This window comes from Homo sapiens, chromosome 1 (genome assembly GCF_000001405.40).
Source record: "Homo sapiens chromosome 1, GRCh38.p14 Primary Assembly".
NCBI lineage: Eukaryota > Metazoa > Chordata > Mammalia > Primates > Hominidae > Homo > Homo sapiens.
Genome location: NC_000001.11, coordinates 52,858,774 through 52,880,111, shown reverse-complemented (window position 1 = coordinate 52,880,111; position 21,338 = coordinate 52,858,774). Strand labels below are relative to the sequence as shown.

Genomic DNA, 21,338 nt, shown 5'->3' with positions numbered 1-21,338 from the left:
AAATCCTCACATTCTGGATCTCTCAAAAAAAAAAAAAAAAAAAAAGTGGGCTGGGTGCGGTAGCTCATGCCTATAATCCCAGCACTTTGGGAGGCTGAGGCAGGTGGATCACAAGGTCAAGAGATTGAGACCATCCTGGCTAACATGGTGAAACCCTGTCTCTACTAAAAAAAATACAAAAATTAGCTGGGCGTGGTGGCGCATGCTTGCAATCCCAGCTACTCGGGAGACTGAAGTGGGAGAATCACTTGAACCCGGGAGGCAGAGGTTGCAGTGAGCCGAGATCACACCATTGCACTCCAGCCTGGGTGACAAGAGCGAGACAAAAATAAATAAATAAATAAATAAATAAATAAATAAATAAGAAAAGTGGAAGATCTTTTAGGTCAGCTGGTAGGATATGTAGAATTGTACAGGATATATGAGGCATCAATCCAACTTTCTGGCATTATTTCCCATTCCTTTTCACCTTCCCACCTTTTCCCCAAATTCTAACCATTCCATTTTACAGTGTTCCTCAATGATTACACTTATTGATTACATTATAAATAATCTTCCCTAGCCAAAAATGACTTTGTCCCTTCTTTATACTTTTCCGTACCTTCCAGATTTCCAGTATTAATCATTTACTCCTCTCTGTGAAGCCTTTCACATCTACTTTGTTGTGAGTCCTGTATGTGTGAGATACACGAAGATAAGGCACAGTCCCTCCATGTTTTCAACGAGTTCAGGACCTAGAACCAAGGGTCCCAATGGACTCAGTGCCTCTCTTGCAGCACTCACTTGTCAGTTGTAAATCAGATACCTGTTTGTACACGTCTAACACTGCCTTCCCAAAGTTATGAGCACCATCACCTTGACATATTTCATGCATCCGTATTTTTCCAATGCATATGGCATGGCAAAGTGCAGGTGCTTACTATATGTCTTTATTACTTATTGAAAAATCTTCACCTTTAGCTTTAGGAAATGAAGAAATTTCTCAATTGTAGAATACCTTGATTGAGAGTCAGTACATAAGTATCAACAAAGAAACTGCTAAAAAATAGACTTCCTGGATAAAGAAGTAGTATAGTAAAGTGATTAATATCAGAGGGTCTGGAGCCAGACTGACTGAGTTTGAGTTTTTTGGTTTGTTTTTTTTTTTTTTTTTTTTTTTTTTGAGCAGAGTTTCGTTCTTGTTGCCCAGGCTGGAGTGCAATTGGAGTGCAGTGGCACGATCTTGGTTCATTTCAATCTCTACCTCCCAGGTTCAAGCAATTCTCCTGCCTCAGCCTCCCAAGTAGCTGGGATTACAGGCATGTGCTACCATGCCCAGCTAATTTTTGTATTTTTAGTAGAGACAGGGTTTCACCATGTTGACCAGGTTGGTCTTGAACTTCTGACCTCAGGTGATCCACCCACCTCGGCCTCCCAAAGTGCTGGGATTACAGGCATGAACCACCGTGCCTGGCCGAGTTTGAGTTCTAATTAGGATAAACGGCATTTCTGGGACTCAGATTCTCTATGAAACGTGGATAACAGTGTATGGTAGAATACAAAAATAACACAACTTCTCCTATCCCTGTATATACACCCCGTAGCAATGTGACTTTACTGCCTTTAATCTGGGCTTAAATATATAACCTGTGTTGTCCTATGAAACATTAGCAAGGTGATATAAGCAGAGGTTTAAAAAGCGCTTGGACAGTGGGGCCTGCCCTCTAGAGATTGCCATGTGGAGAAGCCTGTGGACACAAAGCCCGCCAGCTGGTAAGCAGCACCAACTGTCAGACATAAGAGTCAGGCCATCTTAGACCCTCCAGCCCCAGTCAAGCCACCAGATGACTGCAGCTACATAAGTGACCCCACATGAGACCAGACAGACCAGAAGAACTTTACAGCTGAGCTGAGCTCAAACTACTGACCCACAGATTCATAAGTAAATTAAATGGCTACTGTTTTAAGCCACTAAGCTATAGTTTGTTCACAACAATAGATAACTGATATACAATAGTATTTACTCTGTAGGGCTAATGTAAAGATTAAATGAGTTTATACATGTAAATTGCTTACAATACTGCCTAGCATATAGTAGGTACTATATAAGTGTTAGGTTTTGCTTTTAAGCAATTAAAATTAATTCAAAACAATTCACCTTACCAAAAGACCAAGTACTTTGCTTTGTATTGCTGACTCTGAAAAGGTCTGTCAAAAAAATATATACATACAGGTTACTTTATCATGAAGAGAAGAACTTTACATATAAACTCAATCCTGTCTTCCCACCTCCAAGACTTGGATGAAGATTTGCAATCCTTGATTTTCAATGAAGTGCTTGCAGGCAGCTGGAGACCCATCTGTAAGATTCCAAAGTGCTTTCAAAGTAAACAAGAAGGTGACATCATCTAAATTCTCAGTAGTCTTTTGTTTTACTATTGCTAGAAGTTCCTAAAAACCAAAGAGACAGGGAGGGAGTTAGATGCTCTAATGAATAATCAATTGCGGTATAAGGAAAGCAATGTTAAGACGCATCAAACCTCGGTTCTAAACCCAAGTTCTGCCACTTAGTAGCTGTGTGATCTATTTTCTTTCTATAAAATAAATTACAACTACTTCTTACAGTTTTTGTGAGGATTAAATGAAAAAAAATTTAAGTTTAGTGAGCACTTAGTCCAGTTCTTGGTATATGGTCATCAAGTACATTATTAGCTATTCCATTATTTTTATTTAGAACACTTAGTCAACACCTTCTCTAAGCCAAGTACAAAAGAAAGAAAAAAGGGTAGAAGGCAGACAGAACAAAAGTTGGCTTTTCTCAATTAAATAAAAGAATTTTAAATTTTGGTTGTCTGATGAAAACACATAAAAGCCTAAAATTGAGGCTTTAGGAAGGGTAGGAGAGGGAAGCCTCCATACAAAGATAATATGTAACTGAGACCAGAAGAAAAAGAGGATAAGCCAGCCCAGTAAGAAATGGGGACATGCAGGAACGGGGCTGGGGGGAGAGGGGGAGGAAGCACATGCCAGGCAAAGTTTGGGGCAGGAAAAAAGTCTGCTGCTCTAAGCCACTGAGCAGGTCAGTGGGGCTAGAACACCAGGCCAGCATTCCATCACATGACCTCACATCTTGAAGAGGCCACTGGTTCACTTAAACAGACTGCAAAGTACCATTTGAGATCAACATTTCTAGAAAGAAGTCAAGCTAGTATTTATGGTCTCTTTCAATATCAGACTGTCATGTGAGAGGAAAAAGACAAAACGATTTTCACTTTAACCAGCTGATGAAAAGATACATAAAATATAACAAAGCACCAAACAAATCAGAATGTATATTTTCAAGAAGAATGAGACCACCTCAAATATTTTGCCCAATCAGGAGAGAATGTGTCAAGAGACTTCATCACAAAAATAAATCTGTGAGAGTCAAGAGAAGAGTGTTAGATGAGACGGGTGCACTCACCTAAGCAGCTAGTTAGATGAATGAGAGCAAGGCCAGGAGCAGGGGAAGTGAGCCTGTCCCTGAGCGTATCACAGTGGCCAGGCCCTTGGTCATACGATTTAGCTTAATGATACTCAAAATAACTGTGCACTATTACTACTATGACAGATACCATTTTTTCAACTGAGGCCCATTTTTCAGATGAAAAATCTAAGACACAGAGGAGACTTATCTGTTGTCGTAAGAGTGCCTGGCCTGCTCTCTTTATCTGTATCTCAACTAGTCCTGTTACCCCTCCCAGCAACTTTATGTTCCTGGGATATGTTCCTGCATTATATTATATGGCAAAACTCCTACCTGAGTTAAACGTAACTATCAGTCTACTTCATACCTCCCAACATTCAACATATTAATGTTGAAGAAGACTGAGCTCACCTGGTCTCAATTTCAATACCTGCTCATAAATTTCAAAAGGACACTTAACCGTATTTGTCAATACTACTTTATTTCCCAAAGAATTTGCTCCAAAGACTACTATTTCCTAATTCTCTCTCCTCAAACTTGAATCACCATCTTCTCACTCCCCTCATTTGATTTCATCTTTTTCATTGAGAAATACACCCACTCTTCCTAACAAAAGCTACCAATCTACTTGCATTTGCATCAACATACTCTGCCTTCCCTTCTGCTCCAATCTAAAGCAAACAACTTTATTCTACTCTAAACTCAATTTCTGCACATACAGAGATTCAGCACCAAAACTGAATCACCTCAAACTTGAATCTTCAAACTTGAATCACCATCTTGTCACTCCCCTCATTTGATTTCATCTTTTTCATTGAGAAATACACCCACTCTTCCTAACAAAAGCTACCAACCTACTTGCATTTGCATCAACATACTCTGCCTTCCCTTCTGCTCCAAACTAAAGCAAACATCTTTATTCTACTCTAAACTCAATTTCTGCACATACAGAGATTCAGCACCAAAATTGAATCACCTCAAACTTGAATCTTCAAACTTGAATCACCATCTTCTCACTCCCCTCATTTGATTTCATCTTCTTTTTCATTGAGAAATACACCCACTCTTCCTAACAAAAGCTACCAACCTACTTGCATTTGCATCAACATACTCTGCCTTCCCTTCTGCTCCAATCTAAAGCAAACATCTTTATTCTACTCTAAACTCAATTTCTGCACATACTGAGATTCAGCACCAAAATTATTTCCTTTTATTTTGCTTGTGGTGTCAACTTCTCCCTCTTTAGAACTCTTCTCGTGGGCACAAAATATGTCTTAATGTAGTCGATCTTTTTAAAGACTGACCCCACCTCTGCTTTCCTTCTCATTAAATTATATCAAAAAGTTACATCCATTTCTCACCTCCCATTTGCTATTCCATCCTATTCCAATCAGGTTTTGGCCTGCCACCCCACTGAAATAACATAATCAAGGTGACTAATGACTTCCTCTTGTCAAATCCAATGGTCAACTCTGTCCTCACGTCACTCAACCACTCAGTAGTATTTGATATGATGGCCCAATTTTTCCTGAAACATTCCTCTTGGATTCTAAAACACCCACTCTCAGCTTCCTTCTAATGCACTTTGGATGCTCCTTCTCAGTCTCCTTTTCTGGTTCATCCTATTTTTTTTCCAATAAACAGGCACATCTAGGAGAGACTGTGGGTTCAATTCCACAATAAAACAAGTAACACAAATTTGTTTTCCCACTGCATACAAAAGCTATGTTTACACTATAATGTAGTCTATTAAGTGTGCAATAGCACTATGTCTAAAAAGCAATGTGGATACCTTTTTTTTTGAGACAGTCTCACTGTGTTGCCAAGGCTGGAGTGCAGTGGCATGATCTCAGCTCACTTCAACATCCACCTCCCGGGTTCAAGGGATTCTCCTGCCTCAGCCTCCCGAGTAGCTGAGATTACAGGCTCGTGCCACCCCACCCGGCTAATTTTTGTATTTTTAGTAGAGATGGGGTTTCGCCATGTTGGCCAGGCTGGTCTCAAACTCCTAACCTCACATGATCCGCCTGCCTCAGCCTTCTAAGTTGCTGGGATTACAGGCATGAGCCACCACACCCGGCCCAATGTAGATACTTTAATTTAAAAATATTTTATGGCTGGGCACAGTAGCTCACGCCTATAATCATAGCACTTTGAGAGGCAATGGCAGGAGAATCGCTTGAGCCCAGGAGCTCGAGACCAACCTGAGTGACACGGCTAGACTCTGTCTCTATCAAAAAAAAAAATGTAAAAAATTATCTGGGTGTAGTGATATGCACCTGTGGCCCCAGCCACTCAGGAGGCTGAGGCAGGAAGATCACTTGAGCCCAGGAGGTCGAGGCTGCAGTTGAGATGGGTCCCCACCACTGCACTCCAGCCTGGGCAACAGAGAAAGACTCTACCTTAAAAAATATGTATATATATATAGAGAGAGAGAGCTAAAAAACGCTAAACCACCTGAGCCTTCAGCAAGTGGTAATCTCTTTGCTGGTGGAGGGTCTTGTCTCAATGTTGATGGCTGCCGACTGATCAAGATGGTGGCCGACTGATCAAGATGGTGATCAGGATGGGGTGGCTGTGGCAGTTTCTTAAGATAGCAATGATGTTTGCCCCATCAATTGACCCTTCCTTTCAAGAAAGAACTTCGTTCTCTTTTTATTTTATTTATTTATTTTTTTTTTTGAGACGGAGTTTCACTCTTGTTGCCCAGGCTGGAGTGCAGTGGCGCGATCTCGGCTCATTGCAACCTCCACCTCCTGGGTTCAAGTGATTCTCCTGCCTCAGCCTCCCGAGTAGCTGGGACTACAGGCGCACGCCACCACACCTGGCTAGTTTTTGTAGTTTTAGTAGAGATGGGGTTCCACCATGTTGGCCAGGCTGGTCTCGATTTCTTAACCTCGTGATCCACCCACCTTGGCCTCCCAAAGTGCTGGGATTACAGGCATGAACCACCGCACCTGGCCTAGAACTTCTTTCAAATTTGGAGTCAATCCTTTCAAACTCTGCTGCTGTCTCATCCAACCAGGTTTATATAATAAGTCAAAGTCCTTTGTTGTCATTCCAACAATGTTCACAGAATCTTCACCAGAACTAGATTCCATCTCAAAATATGTCTTTGCTCTTCCCCAACAAGCAATTCTTCATGTGTTAAAGTTTTAGATTGCAGCAATTCAGTCACATCTCCAGGCTCCATTTATAATTTTAGTTCTCTTGGCATCTACAGTTACTCCTTCCACTAAAGAATTGGACCCCTCGAAGTTATCCACAAGGGTTCCAATCAACTTCTGAACTCCTGGTAATGTTCATATTTTGACCTCCTCCCAAGAATCATGAATATTATTTTTGTTTGTTTTTGAGACAGGGTATTTCTCTGTCACCCAGACTGGAGTGCAATGGCACAATCACCGCTCATTGCAGCTTCAATCTCCCTGGGTTCCGGTGATCTTCCCATCTCAGCCTCCTGAGTAGCTGAGAGTACAAATGCATGCCACCATGCCTGGCTAATATTTTGTAGAGACAGGATTTCGCCACGTTGCCCAGGCTGGTCTCAAATTCCTGGCCTCAAGTAATCTGCTCGCCTTGGCCTCCCAAAGTGCTAGGATTACAGACATGAGCCACCGCTGTGTGTTTTCTTAATGGTATCTAGAATGGTGAATCCTTTCTAAAAGGTTTTCAGTTTACTTTGTCCAGATTCATCAGGGGAATTCCTACCTATGGCAGCTCTAGCCTTATAAAATATTTCTTTTTTCTTTCTTTCTTTTCTTTTCTTTTTTTTTTTTTTTTTGAGACAGAGTCTCACTCTGTCATCCATGCTGAAGTACAGTGGCTTGATCTCGGCTCACTGCAACCTCCACTTCCCAGGTTCAAGCGATCCTCCCACCTCAGCCTCCTAAGTGTCTAGGATTACAGGCATTTGCCACCATGCCGGGCTAATTTTTTTGTATTTTTAATAGAGACGGGGTTTCACCATGTTGGCCAGGCTAGTCTGAAACTCTTGACCGCAAATGATCTGCCTGCCTTGGCCTCCCAAAATGCTGGGATTGCAGGCGTGAGCCACCACACCTGGCCACAAAATGTTTCTTAAATAATAAATAATATAATTAATAAATAATAAATTAATAAATTACTCCCTGATCTATGGGCTGCAGAATGGATATCGTATAACAAGCAGGAAAATATTAACTTCCTTGCTTGTACATCTCCATCAGAACTCTTGGGTGGCTGGTGTATTATCAATGAGCAGTAACATTTTGAAAGAAATCTTGCCTGGTGTGGTGGCTCACACCTATAATCCCAGCACTTTGGGAGACCAAGGAGGGTGGATTACCTGAGGTCAGGAGTTCGAGACCAGACTGGCCAACATGGCGAAACCTCATCTATACTAAAGATACAAAAAAATTAGCTGGGCATGGTAGCATACACCTGTAATCCCAGTTACTTGGGAGGCTGAGGCAGGAGAATGGCTTGAACTCAGGAGGTGGAGGTTGCAGTGAGCCGAGATTGAGCCATTGCAGACTCTGTCTCAAAAAAAAATTCAAACTGCCTTCTTGACATCTCAAGCATCTCAGTAATGAACACATCCAAAATCACTCTTGATTTTTATTCTTGATTTCATCTCTATTGTAAACAGACATACAAGTTAACAAGACAAAATAAACCTAATACTTGATATTAAATACTCATAAGCATAAGATTCCACCCGTAACAGCAATGCAAATGACAAACACTTGAACATACTTCTGGAGGACATGAAAGACTTGAATAAACATACTCTTGTTCCAAGATAGGGGAAATTACAGGACGTCAATTTTCCTACATCAATCTATAATACAATCCCAAAGAAAATGGGTTTTTTTCCTCAGAAACAGGCAAGCCAATTCTGGTGTCTGCACAGAAACAACAAATAGATAAGGATAACTAAAAGAAATCCGAGGACAGATCTTAAATATTTAAGTATTGATAAAGTTAGTGACCAGGCTGAACAAAATGGTAAAACCCCGTCTCTACTAAAAATACAAAAATTATCCTGGTGTGGTTAGCTACTCAGGAGACTGAGGCAGGAGAAACGCTTGAACCCGGGAGACAGAGGTTGCAGTGAGCCGAGATGGCGCCAGTGCACTTCCAGCCTGGTGACAGAGTGGGACTCTGTCTCAAAAAAAAAAAAAAGATAAAAGTTAGTGAGTAGACAGACATGCAAATTAATGGAACAGAATAAAGTCCAAAAATAGATATATACACGGGAATTTAATATGATAAAGGTAGCATAAACAGTGCAAAGACAAGTAGAAACACACAGAGAAGAAAACTTGAACGACCCAACATCTCAAAAAAATTCCAAAGAAAAAAAAGAACAGAAATCACAGGATTAAAAACGTGAGGAGGCTGAATGTGGTGGCTACAAACATAGCTACTCAAGAGGGTCGCTTGAGCCCAGGAAGATGAAGCTGCAATGAACCATGATCATGCCACTTGCCACTACACACCAGCTTCAGCACAGGATGAGATCAAGTCTCTTAAACAAAACAAAACAAAGAATTTTTTAAAAATACTTCATGATGGAGGGAAATACTTTGCAGGTGTGCCATCGATCCCAGATGCATAGTAAAACAGAATGAATTCAACTACGTGAAAATAAAAAATTATTGCATCATAAACCATGCCATAAATGAATTAAAAATAGATAAACAGTAAAATGGGAGAAAATACATGCACCCAATATCATAGTCAAAGGCTTGTTTCCTTAATGTATAAAAAAATCCCCTCTCCCTCTCCCTCTCCCCCTCCCCCTCCCCACGGTCTCCCTCTCCCTCTCTTTCTACTGTCTCCCTCTGATGCCGAGCCAAAGCTGGACTGTACTGCTGCCATCTCAGCTCACTGCAGCCTCCCTGCCTGACTCTCCTGCCTCAGCCTGCCGAGTGCCTGCGACTGCAGGCGCGCGCCGTCACGCCTGACTGTTTTTCGTATTTTTTTGGTGGAGACGGGGTTTCACTGTGTTGGCCGGGCTGGTCTCCAGCTCCTAACCGCGAGTGATCCGCCAGCCTCGGCCTCCCAAGGTGCCGGGATGGCAGATGGAGTCTCGTTCACTCAGCGCTCAATGGTGCCCAGGCTGGGGTGCAGTGGCGTGATCTCGGCTCACTACAACCTCCACCTCCCAGCCGCGTGCCTTGGCCTCCCAAAGTGCCGAGATTGCAGCCTCTGCCCGGCCGCCGCCCTGTCTGGGAAGTGAGGGGCGTCTCTGCCTGGCCGCCCATCGTCTGGGATGTGAGGAGCCCCTCTGCCTGGCTGCCCAGTCTGGAAAGTGAGGAGCGTCTCTGCCCGGCCACCATCCTGTCTAGGAAGTGAGAAGCGTCTCTGCCTGGCCGCCCATTGTCTGGGATGTGAGGAGCCCCTCTGCCTGGCTGCCCAGTCTGGAAAGTGAGGAGCGTCTCTGCCCGGCCGCCATCCCATCTAGGAAGTGACGAGCGTCTCTTCCCGGCCGCCATCCCATCTAGGAAGTGAAGAGCGTCTCTGCCCGGCTGCCCATCGTCTGAGATGTGGGGAGAGCCTCTGCCCCGCCGCCCCGTCTGGGATGTGAGGAGCGCCTCTGCCCGGCCGCGACCCCGTCTGGGAGGTGAGGAGCGTCTCTGCCTGGCCGCCCCGTCTGAGAAGTGAGGAGCCCCTCCACCCGGCAGCCGCCCCGCCCGGGAGGGGGGTGGGGGGGGGTCAGCCCCCCGCCCGGCCAGCCACCCTGTCTGGGAGGGAGGTGTGGGGGGGGTCAGCCCCCTGCCCGGCCAGCCGCCCCGTCCGGGAGGGAGGTGTGGGGGGGTCAGCCGTCCCGTCCGGGAGGTGAGGGGCGCCTCTGCCCGGCCGCCCCTACTGGGAAGTGAGGAGCCCCTCTGCCCAGCCACCACCCCGTCTGGGAGGTGTACCCAACAGCTCATTGAGAACGGGCCATGATGACAATGGCGGTTTTGTGGAATAGAAAAGGAGGAAAGGTGGGGAAAAGATTGAGAAATCGGATGGTTGCTGTGTCTGTGTAGAAAGAGGTAGACATGGGAGACTTTTCATTTTGTTCTGTACTAAGAAAAATCCTTCTGCCTTGGGATCCTGTTGATCTATGACCTTACCCCCAACCCTGTGCTCTCTGAAACATGTGCTGTGTCCACTCAGGGTTAAATGGATTAAGGGCGGTGCAAGATGTGCTTTGCTAAACAGAAGCTTGAAGGCAGCAGGCTCGTTAAGAGTCATCACCACTCCCTAATCTCAAGTACCCAGGGACACAAACACTGCGGAAGGCCGCAGGGTCCTCTGCCTAGGAAAACCAGAGACCTTTGTTCACTTGTTTATCTGCTGACCTTCCCTCCACTATTGTCCTATGACCCTGCCAAATCCCCCTCTGCGAGAAACACCCAAGAATGATCAATAAAGAAAAAAAAAAAGAACATCACTAAAGCTAAAAAAAAAAAAAAAAAAAATCCTATAAAGTAGAAAAAAGTCAGTAACCCAAAAGAAAACTTATAAAGGCTATGAATAGACAGTTTACAAAAAATATAAATGACTCAGCTGGGTGTGGTGGCTCACTCCTGTAATCCCAGCACTTTGGGAGGCCAAGGCAGGTGGATCACAAGGTCAGGAGACCAGCCTGACCAACATAGTGAAACTCTGTCTCTACTAAAAATACAAAACTAGCCAGGCGTGGTGGCACATGCCTGTAATCCCAGCTTTTTGTGAGGCTGAGGCAGGATAACCGCTTGAACCCAGGAAGCAGAGATTACAGTGAGCCGAGATTGCACCATTGCACGCTAGCATGAGCAACGAGAAAAAAAAAATTCATATAATAAAATGAAAATAAAAAAATAAGTACAGAATAAAACAATGTTGTTTTTTGTTTTGTTGTTTTTTGAGACACAATTTTACTCTGTCACCAGGCTGGAGTGCACCTGTGCGATCTTAGCTCACTGCAACCTCCACCTCCTGGGCTCAAACAATCCTCGTGCCTCAGCCTCCCAAGTAGCTGGGATTACAGGACGCACCACCACACCCAGCTAATTTTCATATTTTTGTATTTTTAGTAGAGACGGGGTTTCACCACGTTGTCCAAGATGGTCTCAATCTCCTGACCTCGTGATCCACCCGCCTCAGCCTCCCAAAGTACTGGGATTACAGGCGTGAGCCACAGCACCCGGCCCAGTGATATAAATTTTTTAGTGAACGATGTTAACACAATCATAACATAAATACTGATTAATGATTTATTTAAAATCATGATATAAATTTGTTGGGGACCAGAGGAGGAAGTAATTTGTAGAAAGATACGTAGGAGAGCTAAGTTCTTATCTACTGTAGCAGCAAAATCAGTAACACCTAAAACTGCTCAATCAAGAAACTACAGTATATGCATTTTATTTAGAAATGTGGAGGTATGGCCAGGCATGGTGGCTCACGCCTGTAATCCCTGCACTTTGGGATGCCGAGGCACGCAGATCACGAGGTCAGGAGTTCGAGACCAGCCTGGCCAACATGGTGAAACCCCGTCTCTACTAAAAATACAAAAATTAGCCAGGTGTGGTGACACCCGCCTATAATCCCAGCTACTCAGAAGGCTGAGGCAGGGGATCGCGTGAACCCAGGAGGCGGAGGTTGCAGTGAGCCGAGATCGCGCCACTGCACTCCAGCCTGGGCGACAGAGTGAGACTCTGTCTCAAAAAAAAAAAAAAAAAAAAAAAAAAGAAATGTGGAGGTACATACCAAAAGAAATAGCTACAAAATTAGAAAGTTTCTTCTGGGGAGAAAGTCTTACAGATTTCTCACCTTAATAGGCCTTTTGGAATGATTTGATTTTTTTTTTAAGCTATAATCATAAATTTGACTTTTTTTAAAAAAAGGTTATGAACATGACAAGGAACCTACCTTAACTGCCATGAAAAGCTCTTCAAGCTGTGCCGTTTGCTCAGGTGAGAGCTATAAGCAAACAGAAAGGCTCAAGTGAACTATGGAACCTGTATAAAAACTAGAGAGATAGACATCTTGCCTTTAAGAAATCACAAACCTGCAGAGCCAGAATAGAGGTGACACTCACTGCCATTGTTTGCATCTTGGGGTTTTCATGCTTACAGAGCCATCTCATGACAAACTTGGCAGCATCAAACCTGAAAAGCAGTATTTATTTTTCTCACAATTATATATAAAGTTTGTGAAACTACACAGAAGAAATCATTTGGCATTCCCCAAGTAATCCTATAATGAAAACAGTCTTGGACTTTTAAATCCTCAGCTATGAAAACCAAGAGCATTTGGCAGAGAGAAGACCAGGCAGGGGATAGGAGAGTATGCAAATAAGAACGTAAGCAAAATACACAGAATTTACATAAAGATGAGCAAATCTAAGAAAAAATGTATTTATCATTCAGTTTCTACTATGATAGGTCTGAAAAAGAAAGGGAGTTTCCAGAGTGGTAGCAATTTGTAATCTGAGTAGTAGACAATGCTAAAATGCTGCAGCAAACATCACTCAGTTACAAAGTGACTGAGCCTAAACCTTGTATTCACAAATCAGGGGCTTTGCTCTTGTTAGCTTGTGCCTCATTTCTCTGCTCTTTTATGTCAACTATTATAAATGTTTTAAAACTTGTGAATCTGAGAGACTGCAAAGGCCTCAAATCCTTCTGGAATGGCTAGGATGATGATGATTTTCTAAATAATTAAAAAGTAAATTACTAATAAAATAATAATTACATAACAAAATGAATAAATTACTAATATTCTTTATAATAGCCTGTACTTAAACTAGGAATTAAGTACTTTACAGACACTATCTTATCTAATGCTGGTAAGAGTCACTATTTTACAAATGAGGAAACTTATAATAAGCAAAGATAATGGAAGGGCTAGATCTTGAGTCCAAGTATGTTTGGCTCTCGGAGCCTGTTCTTACCCACTATCCTATACTAGAATCACTTTAGGAGACAACATTTTCTAGTAGGGTACTTCTAATCACTTCTCTGTGGAAGATGCTCAACAGAACCTTCTCTCCAAACACCTTATCCCAGCCTTAATCAGGCCTCTGCATTTAATAACCAAAGGCCAACACCCCAGTCAAATGACCAAGTCTTATACTTGCCTGTCAAATGGAACATCCACAAGAATCCTGGAATTGGTTAAGGAGAGAAGACAATTCTTCTGTAACTTTTAGAGAATAAAGAAAAATAATTTTGAACAAATGTAACATTCCATTCTAAACAAAGATTCCATGTATTTGGAAGTATTACTAGTGAGCTTTTCTTATTGAGAGCTCATTTGTGTACCAGCATTAAATTTTCATTTAATGCTGTAACTGATGACTGCCATGCAGGAATGAAGACTTGAGTAGGATTTTCCAACTTTAAAAATAAGGTAGAAATAAATGAGGAAAACCACCTTCCTAACTGTATTTTTAAAAAATCAACTCCCTTGGCCGGGTGCGGTGGCTCATGCCTGTAATCCCAGCACTTTGGGAGGCAGAGGCAGGCGGATCACGAGGTCAGGAGATCGAGACCAACCTGGCTAGCACAGTGAAACCCCGTCTCTACTAAAAATACAAAAAATTAGCCGGGCGTGGTGGTGGGTGCCTGTAGTCCCAGCTACTCGGGAGGCTGAGGCAGGAGAATGGCATGAACCCGGGAGGCGGAGCTTGCAGTGAGCCAAGATTGTGCCACTGCACTCCAGCCTGGGCGACAGAGCGAGACTCCATCTCAAAAAAAAAAAAAAAAAAAAAACTCCCTTTACAAAGTACACATTTGTATTAGATTTCACAAATTTATACCCCTGTGTAACCACTCCTACAATCAAGATATAATACTTCTATCACCCCCAGAGAGTTCCATTGTCCCCTCTTCAAGTTAGTCTCAACCCTGTAAACCCTATCCTCGGAAAATTACAGTCATTATAGATTAGTTTTTTTAAGGTGTTATGCAAATGGAATCATGTACTTCTGCTCTTTTGAGTTTGGCCTGTTTTGCTCAACATATAACATTTTTGAGTTTCATCTACACTGCAGATATCAGTACTTCATCTCTGTGTGCCAAGTAGTGTTTCCCTAAATAGATTTATTACAATGCTTCTATTCGCCTGTTGTTGGACATTTGGGATGTTTCAAGTTTTTGGCAATAAATAAAGGTACCATGAATATTTGTGTAAATATCTTTATATGGATACATGCTTTCATTTATCTTCAGTAAATACCTAGGAGTGGAATGACTAGGTAGTTTATGAAGTGTATATTTAATTCCTAAAGAAACTACCAAAGTGTTCAAATCTTTTGATCATTTTTATAACTGATTTGTACTGTATTAACAAGTTGAGTTCTTTATATACTCTGAATGAAGTTGATTCTCATATATATATAATGAACATGTTTCCCAGTCTATCATCTACCTTTTCATTTTAAAAATGTGTGTTGTGGGGGAGGGAGCCAGGCATGGTGGCTCCCTCCTGTAATCCCAGCACTTTGGGAGGCCAAGGCAGTGGATCACCTGAGTTCAGGAGTTCGAGACCACCCTGGCCAACATGGTGAAACCACATCTATACTAAAAATACAAAATCAACCAGGCATGGTGGCATGCGCCTGTAATCCCAGCTACTCAGGAGGCTGAGGCAGGAGGCAGAGGTTGCAGTGAGCCAAGATCGTGCTACTGCACTCTAGCCTCGGCAACAGAATGACTCCGTCTCAAAAAAAATAATAAAAATAAAAATGAGTGTAGGCCAGGCGCGGGGGCTCACGTCTGTAATCCCAGAATTTTGGGACACCAAGGTGGGCAGATCATGAGGTCAGGAGATCGAGACCATCCTGGCTAACACGGTGAAACCCATCTCTACTAAAAATACAAAAAAAAAAAAAATTAGCCAGGCATGGTGGCGAGCGCCTGTAGTCTAAGATACTCGGGAGGCTGAGGTAGGAGAATGGCACGAACCCAGGAGGCGGAGGTTGCGGTGAGCCGAGATCATACCACTGCACTCCACCCTGGGCAACAAGAAGGAAAATCTCTCAAAAAAAAGAAAATTTTAGCCTCACTGCTTATCTATATTTCCTATTTTTTCTATAACAAACACACTCTTTTATCTATTCTCTTTCTCTAATAGGATGAAAAACCAGAACTAAATAATATCTATTTTTCACATATTTATCCTAAAGTTAGAAAACACAAATTGTCTGCCGTATGCCATGGCTCATGAGGCCAGGAGTTCGAGACCAGCCTGACCAACATGGTGAAACCCCGTCTCTACTAAAAATACAAAAATTAGCTGGGCGTCGTGGTGCACGCCTGTAATCCCAGCTACTCAGGAGGCTGAAGCAGGAGAATTGCTTGAACCCGGGAGGCAGAGGTTACAGTGAGCTGAGATCGTGCCACCGCACTCCAGCCTGGGCGACAGAGAGAGACTCTGTCTTTAAAAAAACAAAAACAAATTGTGCCACGGCACTCTGGCCTGGGCAACAGAGCTGAGACTATTAACAACAACAAAAAAAGCACAAACAAATATTCAATTGAAATTACCTGCTGGTAATGGGGGAAATTTTTCAGAGCCTTGAAAAGTAGACAGGTGACCTCTGACAACAGGCGAACAGGCATCCCCTTGGCCAGGCCCTGGCGTGTTAGGTTGAGAGCGCAAGCACTGGCTGTGAACTGCACTCGCAAATCCAATGGGTGATTCCTCATTCCTATAGCCACAAGCTGAAGATGAACTTGTTTTTAGTGCATATGATGCCAGTAACATTCTCTATGCTGTCTTGTGCATGTTTTGATTGGCACAAATCTTCGTTTATTGGGACAGGAACAGATTTTCCCTATCCTAAGCATTTATTCTTTAGAACATCAAAGTATTACAGCAAAGCCTTCTAATCCAAATGGAGTCACTAACTATCTGTGTGACTTTGGCCAAGTCACTTCCTTTCTCTAGACCTCTATTTCTTTATCTGTGAAATTAACTTCAGAATCATTTATTGAGCCTCACTCCATACAAGCTACTGTGACAGGTACTGCAGGGGACACAAACATGAGTGAGAGCTACTCGTTAGCATAAAGCCTTGTGACAGTAATAACACTGTGAGAAATGCCAAAAAATAAAATTGAAGAAAAGCACCATAAAAGACGCATCAATGAAGTGACATCTGAGGTAGTTATGGAAAGAGTGGCCATTTCTGGGAGAGAATCAGAAGAACTCATTGAGAGAGCACATTTAGGCAGAGTCTCAGGATTTACACAGGAGGAGATAAATGTAGGGGCAGAATGGACAGGGTATTCCTAGGGGAAAGAAAGTGATAAAGAAAAACAGAAAGTGGAAAAAAAGGATGGGATAAATCCACCAACAGAGGAGAAGAATTTGAAAAATGGTAAAACAAAACATTAGGTAACTTGAAGCTACACTGTGGAAGACCTAGAACACAAATGTAAAATGAGGGCATTGTTCCAAGCTTAGACCCCACCTGCTCTGTCATTCAAGGACACTGTGATCTGTTTCCTCTACTAGAGACAGACCTGGGATATACTTCTGCTATGGAAAATGACTTTTTTTTTGTATATTGCTAAATTGATTTTTCAGTTTCATTAGATTGCCATCATCTGCAATTTAGAAATCCAGAAACCAAAAGAAATGTGATTTTCACAAAAACTACACAATCCTGGTATGAAAAGAAATTTAGAACATCTAAATTCAGCCTAGGCAACACAGTAAGACCTCATCTTTACAGAAAAAACAAAAAAAACAGCCAGGCATGGTGGGGCATGCCTATAGTTCCAGCTACTCAGGAGGCTGAGGCAGGAGGATCACTTGAGCCCAGGAGGTCAAGGCTGCAGTTGGCTGAGATCATATCATGCCACTGCACTCCAGCCTGGGCAACAGAGTGAGACCCTGTCTCAAAGAACAACAAAAACAAACAAAAACAGAAGAACATCTAATTCAATCTCTTCCTTACAGATGGAAAAAAAGGTCGAGAATTTTTAATTTATTTTATTTTTTTGAGTTGGGATCTCGCTCTGTTACCCAGGCTGGAGTATAGTGGCACCATCATAGCTTACTGTAGCAGCCTCAAACTCCTGGGCTTGCCGGGCGCAGTGGCTCACGCCTGTAATCCCAGCACTTTGGGAGGCCAATGCGGGCGGATCACGAGGTCAGGAAATCGAGACCATCCTGGCTAACACGGTGAAACCCCATCTCTACTAAAAAATACAAAAAAGTAGCTGGGCGTGGTGACGGGCGCCTGTAGTCCCAGCTACTTGGGAGGCTGAGGCAGGAGAATGGTGTGAACCCGGGAGGTGGAGCCTGCAGTGAGCGGAGATCAAGCCACCGCACTCCAGCCTAGGCGACAGAGCGAGACGCCGTCTCAAAAAAAAAAAAAAACCAAAAAAAAATCCTGGGCTCACGTAGTCCTCCAATCTCAGTCACCCAAGTAGCTGGGACTATAGGCATGTACAACCATGCCCACCTAACTTTTTTTTTGTTTTTTGAGACAGAGTCTTGCTCTGTCGCCCAGGCTGGAGTGCAGTGGTATCATCTCGGCTCACTGCAACCTCCACCTCCCAGGTTCAAGTGATTCTCCTGCCTCAGCCTCCTGAGTAGCTGGGATTACAGGCACCTGCCACCACGCCTGGCTAATTTTTGTATTTTTAGTAGAGACGGGGTTCTACCATGTTGGCCAGGCTGTTCAAATTCCTGACCTCAGGTGATCTGTCCACCTCAGCCTCCCAAAAAGTGCTGGGATTACAGGCGTGAGCCATGGTGCCCAGCCAGAAGCTAATTTTTTTTCTTTTTCTAAATTTTTGTAGAGACAGGGTCTTACTAATGTTGATCAGGCTAGTCTTGAACTCCTGGCCCCAGGAAATCCTCCCATCTCGGCCTCCCAACCAAAGTGGTGGGATTACAGGCATGAGCCACCACAGCTGACCCAGAGTTTTTCTTTATACAGCTTTTGAGCTGTAAATAAAGTTAATCTCCCATGCTGTAAAAATATTTTTTTTTGAGTCTCGCTCTGTCACCAGGAGGGAGTGCAATGGCACAATCTCGGCTCACTGCAACCTCCACCTCCCGAGTTCCAGCGATTCTCCTGCCTCAGTCTCCCAAGTAGCTGGGACTATAGGAGTGCGCCACCACGCCCACCAAATTTTTGTATTGTTTTTAGTGGAGACGGGGTTTCACCATGTTGGCCAGGATGGTCTCAATCTCTTGACCTCGTGATCCACCCGCTTCGGCCTCCCAAAGTGCTGGGAAAATATCCACATTTTTAAGGAATTGCAAAAAATTACAAATAAAGACAAGGTTTTTCTTAAGACCTTTCATTGTTATGTTTCACTAAAAACAACAATTTTCAAATAAACACATGTATAAAAGAAAAATAAATAACTGAAGTTTTCTTTCCCAAGCCTCTTAATACTTGTAATTACATTTACAATAAAACGCATCCTTCCCTAAACCAAAGCTAAGTTTGGCTATATCGATAAAAGCAACTTTATGTCATTCACAAAATACTTCAAGTGGTAGATTTGGCCACCCTTAATTATTTTTATTTTGTTCTGCACTTGTTTTCTTTCAGAAAGCCACATGATCCTATTATTCCCTTACTTAGACCAAATTTTAACTGTTTTGATTCTAATTTATTCCACATAAATCCAGATGCTCAAAGCAAAAGACACTTTGGCAGCTAAGCTTAACATTCTTTGCTCTATGAGAGCACTTGACTCACTATAGAATAAAGCATATAATTTATTATATTCAGTGTGGTTCGTGAACAATTATTAATTGAACCAAGTTAAGAAGTAATAGTAAAAATTGTCTTCCTTCAATTACCTTTAAAATAGCAGGCATGGTTACCTCCATTGAAAATGTCTCTGTGAACAGCCTGTGGAGGGCTTCCTTCACAAAACATGATCTGTTCCTGTATCGGCTCAGTGCTTCTGAAATCTGACTCATACTGGCTCCTCCAGCAACCTGAAAATAAAGATGTTACCAAACAGGTTTCACCATTCATATTTTTTCACCATTCATTTTTAACCACAGGGTTTTTGGGGCATCCAGTGTTTAAGACAATAACAACAAATGTTCAATTAAATGTTCCAGGTGTTGGCCAGGCGCAGTGGCTCACGCCTGTAATCCCAGCACTTTGTGAGGCTGAGGCAGGTGAATCACCCGAGGTCAGGAGTAGAGACCAGCCTGAACAATATGGTGAAACCCCATCTCTACTAAAATTACAAAAATTAGCCAGGCGTGGTGGCAGGCGCCTGTAGTCCCAGCTACATGACAAAATATGCTGAGAGAAAGTAAAGATCTAAATAAATGCAGAGATATACAGGATTCAAGAATCAGGAGACTAGCGCCAGGCGTGGTGGCTAATGCCTGTAATCCCAACACTTTGGGAGTCTGAGGCTCAAGGGTTGCTTGAGCCCAGGACTACGAGACCAGCCTGGACAACATAGTGAGACCTCGCCTCTATTTTTTAAAACAACATGAGACTCAACGTTATTAAACGGCAATTTTCCTCAAACTGACCTACAGATTTAATGCAATCCCAACTAAAATACCAGTAGTCCTTTTTGTAGATATTGACAAGTTGCTTTTATGATTTATATGGAAATACAAAGAACCTAGAATAACCAAAACAATTATGAAACAGAATAACAGTTGAAGAAGTCACATTACCCAATTTCAAGACTTCATATAAAGTTATAGTAATCAAGACAGTAGGCCGGGGCACAATGGCTCAGGCCTGTAATCCCAATACTTTGGGAGGCCAAAGTGGGCAGATCACCTGAGGTCAGGAGTTCAAGACCAGCCTGGCCAACATGGTAAATCCTCATCTCTACTAAAAGTACAAAAATTAGATGGGCGTGGTGGTGCACGCCTATAGTCCCAGCTACTAGGGAGGCTGAGCCAGGAGAATCACTTGAACCCGGGAGGCAGAGGTTGCAGTGAGCCGAGATCACACCACTGCACTCCAGCCTGGGTGACAGACCGAGACTCTGTCTCAAAAAAAAAAAAAAAAAAAAAAAAAAAAGGCAATACACAAACAGATAAAAATAAAGAGCCCAGCTGGGCGTGGTGGCTCACACCTGTAATCCTAGCACTTTGGAAGGATGAGGCAGGCAGATCACGAGGTCAGGAGATCGAGACTATCCTGGCTAACACGGTGAAACACCATCTCTACTAAAAATACAAAAAATTAGCCAGGCGTGGTGGTGGGTGCCTATAGTCCCAGCTACTCTGGAGCCTGAGGCAGGAGAATGGCGTGAACCCGGGAGGCGGAGATTGCAGTGAGCAGAGATCGTGTCACTGCACTCCAGCCTGGGCGACAGAGCAAGACTCCGTCTCAAAAAAAATAAAAAATAAAGAGCCCAGTAACAGACTCACACATATACGGACACCCGATTTTCAACAAAGATGCCAAGTTTATCCAAGGGGGGAAGAGATAATCCTTGGTGGTGAGCCAAGATCGGACCACTGCACTCCAGCCTGGGCGACAGAGCAGGACTCGACTGTCCCAAAAAAAATTTGGGGATCTCAGCTCACAGCAGAGGTTGCAGTGAGCCAAGATTGTGCCACTGCACTCCATCCTGAACAACAGAGTGACTCTGTCTCAATAAAAAATTAATTAATTAATTAATTAAAATACAACAATTGCTAACTTCAAATCAAAAGAATAAAATGTTAACACAACTAATGAGTATACAAATCACTTTATTCTCTTCCCCTAGGAAGAACTAAGGAGGTATTATTATAAAGAAAGAGTTACTTTAAAACAACAGCTCTGGGCCAAGCATGGTGGCTCATGCCTGTAATCCCAGCACTTTGGGAGCCCAAGGCAGGTGGATCACCTGAGGTCTGGGAGTTCGAGACCAGCCTGACCAACATAGTGAAACTCTGCCTCTACTAAAAATACAAAAAATTAGCC

The 21,338-nt window shown here is 43.0% G+C and overlaps 1 protein-coding gene across 9 annotated transcripts in view, besides 2 other annotated features; it reads right to left on the bottom strand.

Moving 5' to 3' along the window:
- The window catches only part of ZYG11A (zyg-11 family member A, cell cycle regulator), a 52,239-nt gene that overhangs the window by 14,887 nt on the left and 16,014 nt on the right, over positions 1 to 21,338 (bottom strand). For 3 of the 9 annotated variants that reach the window (NM_001004339.3, XM_011541482.4, NM_001307931.2), the window contains 7 exons: positions 19,241 to 19,381; positions 15,955 to 16,131; positions 13,545 to 13,609; positions 12,474 to 12,573; positions 12,335 to 12,385; positions 2,269 to 2,430; positions 2,143 to 2,187 (listed from right to left, as the gene is read on the bottom strand). In NM_001004339.3, coding sequence (NP_001004339.2) covers positions 2,143 to 2,187; positions 2,269 to 2,430; positions 12,335 to 12,385; positions 12,474 to 12,573; positions 13,545 to 13,609; positions 15,955 to 16,131; positions 19,241 to 19,381 — 741 coding nt within the window. Of the gene's footprint in view, positions 1 to 2,142; positions 2,188 to 2,210; positions 2,431 to 8,031; positions 8,958 to 12,334; positions 12,386 to 12,473; positions 12,574 to 13,544; positions 13,610 to 15,954; positions 16,132 to 19,240; positions 19,382 to 21,338 lie in introns of those variants that run through there. The other 6 variants (XM_011541480.4, XM_011541483.4, XM_011541481.4 and 3 more) reach the window with 5 other exon arrangements.
- Positions 9,157 to 10,039: an enhancer, noted in NCBI's record as "H3K27ac-H3K4me1 hESC enhancer chr1:53335745-53336627 (GRCh37/hg19 assembly coordinates)". NCBI's record gives its function as "activates a minimal SCP1, AML or CMV promoter by ChIP-STARR-seq in naive H9 embryonic stem cells {active_cell/tissue: H9 hESC(naive)}" and the evidence as "EXISTENCE:reporter gene assay evidence [ECO:0000049][PMID:30033119]".
- Positions 10,040 to 10,924: an enhancer, noted in NCBI's record as "NANOG-H3K27ac-H3K4me1 hESC enhancer chr1:53334860-53335744 (GRCh37/hg19 assembly coordinates)". NCBI's record gives its function as "activates a minimal SCP1, AML or CMV promoter by ChIP-STARR-seq in naive H9 embryonic stem cells {active_cell/tissue: H9 hESC(naive)}" and the evidence as "EXISTENCE:reporter gene assay evidence [ECO:0000049][PMID:30033119]".